This window comes from Homo sapiens, chromosome 1 (genome assembly GCF_000001405.40).
Source record: "Homo sapiens chromosome 1, GRCh38.p14 Primary Assembly".
Taxonomy (NCBI): domain Eukaryota; kingdom Metazoa; phylum Chordata; class Mammalia; order Primates; family Hominidae; genus Homo; species Homo sapiens.
The window spans coordinates 42,026,334-42,038,533 of record NC_000001.11 but is presented as its reverse complement, the minus strand read 5'-3'; the positions used below and the strand labels follow the sequence as shown (position 1 = coordinate 42,038,533).

The 12,200-nt window shown below is 45.0% G+C and overlaps 1 protein-coding gene across 1 annotated transcript in view, besides 1 other annotated feature; it reads left to right on the top strand.

Moving 5' to 3' along the window:
- Nucleotides 2,343-3,112: a silencer, noted in NCBI's record as "silent region_756". NCBI's record gives its function as "represses an Ori minimal core promoter by ATAC-STARR-seq in GM12878 lymphoblastoid cells {active_cell/tissue: GM12878}" and the evidence as "EXISTENCE:reporter gene assay evidence [ECO:0000049][PMID:35858748]".
- Nucleotides 2,600-12,200, top strand: part of HIVEP3 (HIVEP zinc finger 3) — a 529,570-nt gene continuing 519,969 nt past the window's right edge. Inside the window, exon 1 of the transcript NR_038261.2 lies at nt 2,600-2,727. The gene's annotated coding sequence lies outside the window, so the exon portion shown is untranslated. The remainder of the gene's footprint in view (nt 2,728-12,200) is intronic.

Genomic DNA, 12,200 nt, shown 5'->3' with positions numbered 1-12,200 from the left:
CAGGGACTACATAGCAGGAATCAACTGCAAGTCCCCTTGGTCAGGAAGTATCAGGGCCAACTGCCTCCAGCGTTATTCCACCTAGGATTCAAATTCCAAATGAAAGATGTCATAGTGCTCCAGCTTGGGGGCACACCAGGCCTGGGCCAGGTAAAGTCATCATCTTCACTGGCAGTCTCCCCAAGCCCATATCTCTTGGAGTGAGTTCCTGAAGGAAAATCAGTGTGATGTGACCCTAAGAAAGAGCTAACGCTTGCTGAAGTAATGGGTGTCCACTTCAACAGCTGTGTGGAAACTAGATCTGAAGGGCACTAAAGACGAAGGGAATTAAAAGTCAAAAGACAGTGGAGATATGGACTAGGGCTGTGGTAGTATTGTGGGATTTATGAATATTTATGAGATAAAAATCGGTGATTGACTTTAGGAGAAGGAAGACGACAGAATCAAGGATGATTCCCAGGTCCTAGAATGTGGTAGTAGATATTATTACTGGAGAGAAGATAGAGGATGGGGAAGGGGAGATGACAAATAGCTTATGACATGCCAAGTTTAAGAACTCTGTGGGACATCAGGTGGAGGCTAGAATTTGAAGCATAGTAACTGAACTGAACTCATAGGCATGGACGACATAACCTAGGAAGGATTCTGGAAGAAGCCACAGAAGAGATCAAAATAAGTTTTGATCTTTGAAGAGATTAAAATAGATTTGCCAAGAAAATAAGATCAAATGACAAAGAACGGAAGGAGGAGGAGAACCAGGAATGTGCAGGGTCATAGAAAGCCACAGGATAAAATTTCAAGGAGAGAGCAGATTTGAGCTCTGGTGCAGGTAGAAGCCACATTCTAGGGAGCTAATGTATAAGTGGGAGTAAAAACGTGTGGGCTACCCTTGCAAGAATCTTGGATGAGAAGGGCTGGTTAACTGCATGGTAACTTGGAGGGCATACAGAGTCAAGAGAGGTTTTTTTTTTTTAATTTTTTAAATTTTTTGGTCATTTGGATTTTTGGTTTAAATTAAAATATCATTCACATACCATAAAATTCACCCTTTTATACAGTTATGTGGTTTTTTATTATATTCACAAAGTTGTACAGTCATCACCACCGTCTAATTCCTTAACATTTTAATCACCCCCCAAAGAGGCTTTGTACTCATTAAGCAGTCACTCCTCAGTCCCCCCTCCTCCCAGTCCCTGGCAACCATTAGTCTACTGTCTCTATGGATTTGCCTGTTTTGGACATTTCATATAAATAGAATCATACACTATGTGGGTTTTTGTGACTGGTTTCTTTCATTGAGCACTATAGTGTTTTCAAGGTTCATCCATGTTGTAGCATGTAACAGAATTTCTTTCTTTCTTTTTTTTTTTTTTTTGAGACGGAGTCTTGCTCTGTTGCCCAGGCTGGAGTGTAGTGGTGCGATCTCGGCTCACTGCAAGCTCTGACTCCCGGGTTCACGCCATTCTCCTGCCTCAGCCTCCCACTTAGCTGGGACTACAGGCACTCGCCAACACGCCCGGCTAATTTTTTGTATTTTTTTTTAGTAGAGACGGGGTTTCACTGTGTTAGCCAGTATGGTCTCGATCTCCTGACTTCGTGATCCGCCCGCCTCGGCCTCCCAAAGTGCTGGGATTACAGGCGTGAGCCACCATGCCCGGCCTTATTATTTTTTATGGCAGAATACTATTCCATTGTATGGATAGACCATAATTTGCTCATCCATTTGTCAATCAGTGGACATTCAGTTGTTTCCTTTTTTGGCCTTCTGAATACACCGCTATGAACATTTGTGTACAAGTTTTAGTACAGACATGTTTCTAGTTCTCTTGAGTGGAATTGCTGGGTCTCCATTGATTTTTGTTGGGCGAGACCTGATACTGTTTACAGGCTGAGGGTAGGGCGCCGGTGCTGAGGGAGAGGTGGTAGAGCCAGGGGTTGGGGAGGAGGAGGGAGGGCTGGAGCAGAGGAGGCCACTTTCTTCAGCATCACTCACTCTCTGTTTGGCACAGTCCTAAATGCGGGCTAATCTCCCTTCACATCTTCTAGACCCTCTGCAAATACCTCATACTTGCTGACCAGGGAGCGAACCCAGGGCTTGAATAAAGCACCCCTAGACCTGGCAGAGCCGGGAACCGGCTGGCTGGTTCGTTTTCTGATGCAGATCACAGTTTTGGGGTCTCCTCTGGTTAGAGCCTGGCCCATTCGGGTTTGGTTTTCTCCTGGACGTTCGTTCACACGTGAATAAGGCCAATTCACCGTGGAGTCTGCGTCTGAATCCTTGTTCCTTAGGTCATCCCGGGGTCCCAGCTGCCCGGGATGAAAAAACGATGCCCGGGTACCAGGGGTCGGGGACCAGCAACGCCGGCGCTCAGCGTAACCGCTACCCTCCCCAGCCACGGCGCACGCGCCTCTTCCCTGCCAAGGAAGGGGCGGGGAGTAGGCGGGGCGGGCACCTTTGAGGCCAATCGAAAGCGAGCATCCCCGCCCTCCGGGCCGATGGACCCAGTTTGACCCCGGCGGTGGGCGGAGGAGGCGGGGCAAGCCGCGCGGCCAGGAAGGGGGCGGGGCCCGGGGTCTGGAGGCGGGGCCTGGGGCTGTCAGTCCCGCGCCCGCCGCCGCGCCACGGCTCCTCGCATGCCGTGGCCCGGGTGGCTGCCAGCGCTGCCGCCCGCCGCCCGCCACCCCGGCATCCCAAGCCGCCTCCCGCCGCCCCGGCCCGGCGCGCAGGTAAGGCTGGCCGCGGCTGCCGAGCCATCGCGCCCCCCTCCTCGGGCTCGGTCTGACGCGCGGGCGCCCTCTCCGGGCCGTGTCAGCGCCGCAGCTCCCGACTGCGCCCGGGGGCGGTCCCGGGGGGCGGGACGAGAGCCCTCCCCATCCCCCCAACGCCTCCGGGCGCCGGCCCCCTCAGCTGGGGTCCCCCGTCTGGCCTCCGCAGCTCCGGCGCAGGGAGCTGTCCCGAGCCCCCCTTCCCGGGCCGATTACACAACCTCCGGTCCTGGGGCGGGGGCCCCTCCTCAGCCCGGGCCCCACACCTGTCCCCGCAACGCGCTCCCAGGCAGAGGGCAGAGACCTGGCGCGACAGCGGGGGCCGGGAAAGTTTCACTTTGTGGTCAGGGGTTTGTTGACGTCTGAGAGATGCGGGGAGACGGAGACTGAGCGGCGAGGATGCGCCTTGCCAGCCGCGTTCCCTGTGCCCGGGGTGGCCCTGGTCCAGGTTTCCCTTCCAGAAGTCCTGCCGGCATCCCGGCTCTGGGCCGGGAGGCTGCTGCTGCAGGGCGCCCGGGTCTCTCCGTCTCTACGTTAGCGAGCTCTGGATTGCAGCAGTCTGGGGACGGCTCAGTCTCTCGCGCTTGCCCCCTTTCTTAAGTTAGCATTGACATTTAGACCAGTTGGACAAATTTACTTAGCATTTTCCTGACACTTTGTATTGGTGAGTTGCTTTCCCATCCCTAATTAGTTAATTAACAAGGTGGGAAAGCTAAATAGATCCTGGAACGAAATGCCTTCAGTCTGGCAACTCTTTAAAAACCTCTGAGAGCTCTAGGCTCTGGTTGCATGGAGAGATGCTTTTGGCCAAGGTGAGAGAGCGATTCCATGTCTTCTGGTTGCTCGAGGAGGCTTTGGTAATAATGGCACGGCTTTCTCTGCCTCCCGCTGATTGTGCCGTTTATTGAGGGTCTTCAGTTTATGGTGGGTTATTTGGTTTTCTTCATTCAAGAAAGGAGGAATCAGAAGTGTTGCTGATTAACTGAGTGTTCCTCAGTTAAGAAAAACACTGAGGTTTAAATAAGTTTGGATACTTGTCTGCTTTACCAGGTTACCTTCGTGCGCAGAAAATCTTGGCTCTTCTCATTCTCTCCCTATCTTCCCAGTAGGGCTGTATCCAGCCGGGTTGGCATTACTGGTTCCTCATTTAGTCTGAAGACCTCTTGCTACATAAGTGTACAGTCCTGCCTAGGGATAACCTCTAAGAGTGGACTTAATTAGCACTTTTATCTGCTCGTTAAGCAATACAGCTTGAAATCTCTTGTAATCAGGCGCCGTTGTAGTGTTGAATCTTTAATAATACCTGATTCATTTTAATAGTGTTTCTATAATAATCTTTCTATTAGCCTGCCGGTTCTGCAACACCAGTAGTTTTGGTATAGAAGCAGCAATTTACTAGAAATATTATCATGGCAAAAACAGTTCTCTAACAGATTTGCAGCCCACTTTACTTAGATAATTACTGATAGAGGCTGTTAAGATTTTTTTAAAAATTTATTATTTGGTGCAGTAAATGTTACAATGCTTCTGATGTATGAGGTCTTTATGAGGTCATTCCTTCCTGTAGTAATGATTACAGTTCTTGTGTCACTTAAATCTGTTTTGGACTAATATTGTGTGAGTTTTCACCCATGCTAATTTATTTTTAGACAAAATTCAGAGCTAACAAGATTTGGTTTTGATTTGCCAGCCTATGTTTTAATAAGGAAGATATTTATTGTATTTTGGGTGTTACATTAGAGGTAGGATAGCATGTTTTATTAACATATATACTGTTTTGAGGGGTTTACAGATATTAAGCTACTAATTTTACAACAGTCCTATAAGGAAGGGATGATGAAATTGAGGCCCAGTTGCTTGACTCAGGTCACATAGTTAAGTAAATGACAGCCAGATTCTAACCTAGGCAGCCTGAGTTCAAAGTCCAAGTTCTTAACCACTGGACTATCCTGCCCCTATGCTTTCAAGAGGCAATTATTTCTACCTGCTGTCTGTACAATATGATATTCTGCACGGTGGGGAGGAGAAGAGCACTTTACAGTGTAATAACCAACATTGAGTTAGGAGTTCTTGGTCTGGTCTTAACTCTGCCACCAGCTAATCTGTGATTTTGAGCAAGAAACCTTATCTCCTTCCCTTTCAATTCCTCATTGGTGGAATAACAGCATTTGAAGCAGATGAACTAATTAGCCTTACTACCTTAGGGAACTGGAGAGATAAGTCAATGCAGATAAGAATTAAATATCCTTCTTCCTAAGGCACAGCATAAGACCAGGTGTCAAGTGAATGGAGTGTGTGTCATAGGAAAGGACTAGGAGGGCATACATTCTGCTGAAACCAGTGGCTACCCATGGGAGTGCAGTGGTTGAGGACTTCATGTTAATACTTCAGTGTTGTTTTATTTTGTTGCACCAAGGAGTGTTACTTTTGTAATTAAAAAAAAAGACAATTAAAAGAAGTCATCCTATAGAGGTGGGGTAACCATGTGCAGGACCATGTGAGGAGCATTATAGGGGACTGTCTGGCATCACTTTGCAGGAGGCATCACTTTTCAGGGGTCAGATGGTGGTAGGACCTGCATGGCAGACCAAAGAGTTCCCAGAATCATGGGAAGTCAGGCTTGAAAGGAAACTTTAAAAGTCATTTAGTTTAACTCCCTCCTCCCATCTCCCTCCACCATGTATCCAGTGGATAAATCCCTCTGCATGCGGGCACCTGTCCCACTCAGTGCTCGTTCTGCTCCTGCTTGGACACCTCCAGGGTCAAACATTTGGTGTGCTTCACAAACTGTGCACCAAAGAAGACAGGATTGTATCTGGTGCTAGGGAATGGGAAACCACGGAAGGCTTCTGGCTGTTCTAGCTTGTGCTCTTGAAAGACTATCAATTGTCAGAGTGAAAGCTATATTAGAGGAGAAAGGCCAAATCCGGGAGACCAGTTAGGAGGCCGTGGCCAGAATCTGGGATGAGGGGATCCAGGCTGAGACCAGCAGTGGCATGAAATGGGTCCAGGAAGGAATGGACCCTGGAAGGCAAAATCCCTGCACCCAGCAACTGCCTGTCCGTAAGCAAGAGAGAGGAGGAACAAGATGACATTCCCAGGGGAATGGTGGGGGAGGGGGGCAATAAGAGGATGGAGGCTTGGGAGAGCCCCTGATTGGAGCTGGGAAATCCAGTGGGGTGGAGAGGAGAGACAGTTTTGAACGCATAGCCCCCAAAGCTGTATCGTAGACCGTGGCTAATGCAAGACCTGTGCAGACCAAAAACAGATTTCTTAAGAAGAGAGTGTACCATTTAAATATGGTGGGAAACCCTCTGCCTAATGAAGAAAAATTGCAGTATTTCCCAACGGGTGTTGCAGCTTGTGACACTGGCTCATTTAACGTCCCGTTGCACTTCTTGGTCAGGTTGGGAATCGGGTATTCTTCCTTCACTCAGAGGTGAAGGAGGTGGCAGTGAGATGGCGCCTGCACCAGTGAGTCTTTCTGACTCCGAGTCTTAAATACAGAATTGGAACTGGGAGCTGTAGGGCTGGAGCATTTTGTGTGTGAGAGGATGCTGCCTTCCTGTGGTTACACAGAGATGGGGTTGGGGTGTGACTGTTTGGAGTTGGGCCGGGGGCGCATTGGCTGCGCTTTTTTCTGATTTTGTAGGGAGATGTCCTTTTAGGGGATTCTGTTGTCCAGTGACACCTGTTAAATAGGTGCTGGAGAGCCAGTGCATGTCATGGGGAGTACTGAGAAAGTCACTGGAAGTTTTTCTTTCCAATTCAAACACAGATTATGTGGCGTTCAAAGAGGGCTTGGAGCACAATATTTTGATTACCACATTGACTGGAAAACAGGATAATTTGGAAGAAACAAATAAGATTCACACAGGAAACCATGAAGACAGAGAAAATATAGTTGTGAGGGTTTTAAATTAATTTTACTCTTGTTACTTTATATACTTCTGGCTTAGGATACAACATTTACAAAGTATTTATATTTACAAATTTATAAGTTGGAAGATATTGTGTATGTGGGAAAAAAACTGTATAATCTCATTTTTTGGGGGGTGGGGCCAGGACAATATTGTTCTTGTATTTTCAATATTTTTTAGACTAGTAGTTCTTTACCAGAGGTGATTCTGTCCCTCAGGAAACACTTGACAATACCTAGAGATAGTTTGGTTGTCAAAAGTTGCGGTGGTGTTTGTGCCACTGGCATCAAATGGGTAGAAACCATGGGTGTGGCTGAACATCCTGTAATGCATGGGACAGCCCCCACAACAAAGAATTATTCAGCCCCAAATCTTAACAGTGTTGAAGTTGGAAAACTCCACTGTAGGCAATTAAAAAAAAAACCTTACTAGGAGCAAATTGAGTTTAAAGGGAAGAAGAAGAAAATACAAAATATTCCTACAAACTGATCCCATCTGACATCCAGAAGGAAGAAACAGCTAGACAACCTGCTGGAACACAGGTGTTTGCCTGCCACCCAGGAGGTATTTCAATAACTGGGTTGTTCAGCAGAGCAGTCTGGAACAGGAAGTAGAGGACGTTGTAGGAGGAAGAGGCTGTAGGGGTAATTGGTAGAGGCAGGTCTAGAAGGGAAGGTCAAGAAGGGAAACTGGGTTCTTCCAGAATACTTTTGAAAAGTTCTAGGGAATTTTTCAAAGGCTATTTTGTTAAGGATATTGAGTAGTGCTTAGAAGATACAGTCTCCACTTTGAGGGCGCATGAACCCTCTAGGCTGTTGATGAGAGAGTCTGAGCACTTCCCAGGTTTTTCTGCATCTAGACATGAGTAAATGGTGAAGAACACTTGGTTTTGTTTTCAGGTTATATCTGTGTCCTCCTTCGACCCTCCCTTTTAAAACTTTTTCATTATGTAAAATTTTAAACATGTACAAAAATGGAGAAAATAGAATACTGAACCCCTGTTTACGCAATGCCTGTCTTCAATGATTGTCAACTGCTGGCTGATATTTACCTATATCTTAGACACCCCTCCTTTTTTAAAATCTAGAAAATAGCATAAATAATTACAGATTGCCTGCCTAATAGGAGAGGCTTGGCAGTGAAGGATGTAAGTGATTTTCTGATGCTTGGGCCTCCCCGGAGGAAAACCGATAATCGACATGTGTGATTATAAGAGCCACGAGGGCCTGAGAAATAAGAATAGGCCCAGGCAAATCTGGAATGGGGGAGCTCAGCTCTTCTTGGTGGGAAAGTACAGTGATTAGAGACACACTTCTTTCTTTTTAAACCTCCTTGGTAGAGAAGAAGTCTACTTAGAGTTCTTTGCTAGGAGAAATGTATTTTTGGTATCAGTTGTGGAGAGTTCTTTCAGTTCCTGGAGGGAGCATAGTTTTCATGTTTCCTTTTGGGATGCCCCCTTTCCTGTTGCATGACCCTCTAGGGCAGGGTTATCCAATCTTTTGGCTTCTCTGGGCCACATTAGAAGAAGAATTGTCTTGGGCCACACATAAAATATGCTAACATTAATGATAGCTGATGAGCTAAAAAGAAAAATCGCAAAATAATCTCATAATGTTTTAAGAAAGTTTACGAATTCTGTTGGGCTGCATTCAAGGCTCTCCTGGGCTCTAGGTTGGACAAACTTGCTCTAGGGTGTGCTGTGTGGTATAAAGCCAAGGGTTCCTTGTAGCCTCTGCCTCTGACCTGATGGCTTCTTCACAGGGTGACTTTTCCCCAGAAAGCACAGGGCAGGGTCGGGTGGGAGAAAGGCAGTATTTCCAGTGGTTATGAAATGACCTTTTGCAGCAATTGCTTTCTGCATTCATCAGTGTATGGAAGACTCTTGCATTCCAGCCACTGGTGGAAACAGCGTTGTAGCTGACACTTTGGAAACAGGGCTTTCTTTTCCCAATTGTGTCTCCCGGAACTACAGGATTAATTTTTTTTTGGTCATTGGAGAATTGGCATGCCTTTACTTGACTCAGTGTTGTGTTGTAATATGCATACAAAAATGGATTTAAGAGTTGAGAGAGTTCTTGAATAATCACATAATTGATGTCTATGAATTCTAATTAGTGCTAGTTTCTACAAAGTTAGACATTCTGGACTAGGTTCACAAGCAACAACATTGGTGTGAAGACCTGGGTCTTCAGAGAGCTGTATTTTCCATCCTTGTGTTATTTATTAAATGCATTTTTACCCTCTACTTATTCCACAAAGAGGTGTAGATGGCATTAGCTTATTATGAACATTCTGTATCACAGTTGCGGATTTTCAAGTATCATGCCTTTCTCTAGGAAGGGGCCTCTCCTAGTCTGTTAATAATAATCATTATTCCCAAGAACCCTTCTAGGTAGGAATTAGCATCCCCATTTTGCAGATGAGTAGACTGAGGTTTGGAGAGGTTAAGAATAATGGTAGGAGGTAATACTGAGGTTTTGTTTTTTTGTCCAGACCCACTTGATTTCAAAGCCCAAATGCTTTTCAATAAGCCTTCTGTCTCTCATGGTTAAAAGTTGGTGGAAGTTTGTACCAGGATTGGTAGAGAAGATGGGGGCAGGTGCTGTGAAAGGGGACTGAGAGTACCGGTTACTCCAACTAATGAAATCTTCACACTGAACCCCCCTGAGAAACATTGCTTTTGAGTGTGATAAATTACTGATGTCCTGTTTTTGAGCTGACTTTACAAAACAGAAGTTGTACCCTGGTATTCCTTAGCCAGATTTGCTCAATGGATGTATATTCTTCAGTCTGCATAGTGTTTTTTCTTGTAAAAAATTAGATTAGTTGTCATTTAACAAGTGGGAGATTTCACACTAAAATATAGATTTCTGCCTTCTCTTGAACCATCAGAATATCTGGTGACATTGGCCCCATGTTCCCCTTGGCAGTAGTTAGTTACAGTGGCTGCCCTCTTTGGATGCAGCATAGGCTCCTGAGTTTGCCATATTCCCCACCCTGGCCTCTTCACCCATTTATCTTACCTGTCAGGATTCTGAAGGCATTTGAGTTAGAGGCACCTAGTAGAAGTTATATATATTCTCTCTTCAGTGTCAGGGATGTATTAGAGAAGGCTTGTTTTGTTTTTAATTAAAGATCCCCAGCATTTATTTCCTCTTTGTAGAAGCCTGGGGAGGGTAACTATACTTGGCATATAAACAGACACACTCACATTCCCCTCCCTTTGACCCCCAGCAATGGCTAATTGGACTCTAGATAGGTTTTTGGACTAAGAAAGACCAATCAGATTTGGGATTTGGACACCGAGTCAGTAAGCTGAGGAGCCTCAGGCAGGGAGGATTTATAGACTCAAGCTGGAAGTGGTGACCTTGGAAAGGTGGAATGGAGTAGTGAGTAAAGAAGCTGTGTGTCAAGGAGGTGGAAGATCATGGGCAGCAGAAAGAAAAGTGCTTCCTGGTCTCTCCTTCTACTGTATGTCCTGCAATTGGGTTCCTCTGTGTCCACAGCACACATTCTGTGATATTTACTGAGCACTTACTATAATGCCAGGCACTATTCTAGATGTTTGTGATATATCAGTGAACAAAACAAGACAAAGTTCCTATTCTTCTAAAGCTTAGATTTTGATGGAAGAAAAGATAACGCTAAACAACAACAACAACAAAAAATAAAATATATTAGATAATAATAAATACCAAGAAGAAAAATAAAACTTGGTCAGGAGACAGGAGTGGATATAGGAGAGAACATTATGTTAGAGAGATTGTTCAAGGAAGGCCTCTTAATAAAGTGATATCTGAGCAGAGATGTAAATTAAGTGAAAAAGTAAGCCATGAAGAAATCTAGAGGTGGAGCATTCCCTACTGATATGGTTTGGCTGTGTCCCCACCCAAATCTCAACTTGAATTGTATCTCCCAGAATTCCCACATGTTGTGGGAGGGGCCCAGGGGGAGGTAATCGAATCATGGGGGCCAGTCTTTCCTGTGCTATTCTCGTGATAGTGAGTCTCATGAGATCTGATGGGTTTATCAGGGGTTTCTGCTTTTGCTTCTTCCTCATTTTTCTCTTGCCACCGCCATGTAAGAAGTGCCTTTTACCTCCCGCCATGATTTTGAGGCCTCCCCAGCCATGCGGAACTGTAAGTCCAGTTAAACCTCTTTTTGTTCCCAGTTTCGGGTATGTCTTTATCGGCAGCATGAAAATGAACTAATACACCTACAGAGGGTTCAGCAAGTGCAAAAGCCCTGAGGTAATTGTATGCTTGACCTGTGTGAAGAACAGCAAGGAGGACATTGTGGCTGGAATGCAACAAATAATGGGAGAGGAGAGGTGGAGGGAATGCAGGGCCTCACAGTTATATTAAAGACTTTGGATTTTATTCTGAGTGACGTGAGAAGCTATTAGAAGATTTTGAGCACAGGTGACATGATCTAGCTTCTGTCTTAGAAATAAATTCTATATGGAGAACAGATTGTAGGGCAGCTAAGGTGAAGCAGGAAAACTAATTATGAGGCTATGCAATAGTCCTGATAAAATACAGTTGTGGCTTGGACTAAAAGAGAATTGGAGATGGTAAGAAGTGGACAAGTTTTGAATATATTTTGAAGGTAGCATTGACAGAATTTGCCAATGTATTAGATGTTGGTTATGTGTGTGAGAGAGAGAGGAGTCAAGATTATTTGAAACTTTGTGTAAAAACATAGCTTCATTTGGTGGCATTTCAACTTGTCTTCCTAGAAACATTCAAAAGCAAGGTCAACAACAACAACAACAGAACCTTGAAAACTCTATTCACAGCAAAAGTAGGAGAGAAATTTAGTCCATAAACTTCAAAATACATGTAAAGACTGTCCCAAGTAGATGAGATCAGGCAGAAGCCATTGAGGAAATGAAGGGAAGCAGCATAGAAATGGTGAGAGAGCCCAGAGATAGTAGATCTTGGAAAGTACTGGAAAAGTCATGCTCTTTAAGATGAAAAGTCCACCCTGACATGAAAAAGCTGTATCTGTTGCTTGCAATAGTTTTGGGAACTGAGTGTACAGCTGGTGGAAGAAACCCTCCTAGATGTAGTTCGCTTCAGAGAGCAAAAGAAGAGTGGTTATGTAAAGAATCATATAGGCAGGCTGCCATATTTGTAGGAAGTACTCTGTCTCTGTGGTAGCAGGGAAGAAGAGAGTCTTTGGGTTGTAAAAACAGCTCATCTGAAAGAGTATCCTAGGCATGCCTTCCTCCCCTGCCAAGAGGAATCTCATGCAAATACTGTAGCTTGTCCAGGAAAACTCAGCTCAGTGATAATGGAGAGAGGAAATTGTAGGCTTTGGTTTCTGATAATGGTAGGATAGGTTATTTGGACCAAAATTCCACTGAAAATATTAAAATGTTGGATATATTTTTTAAATTGAAAAAATTTTAGATTTTCTTAAAAGCACTAAAGAGATGAGGAGAGACTAAAACACTAGAACACCTAAGTTCTTTTTGCCCTGAGAACATTTGTCGATCCTAATAAATATAGA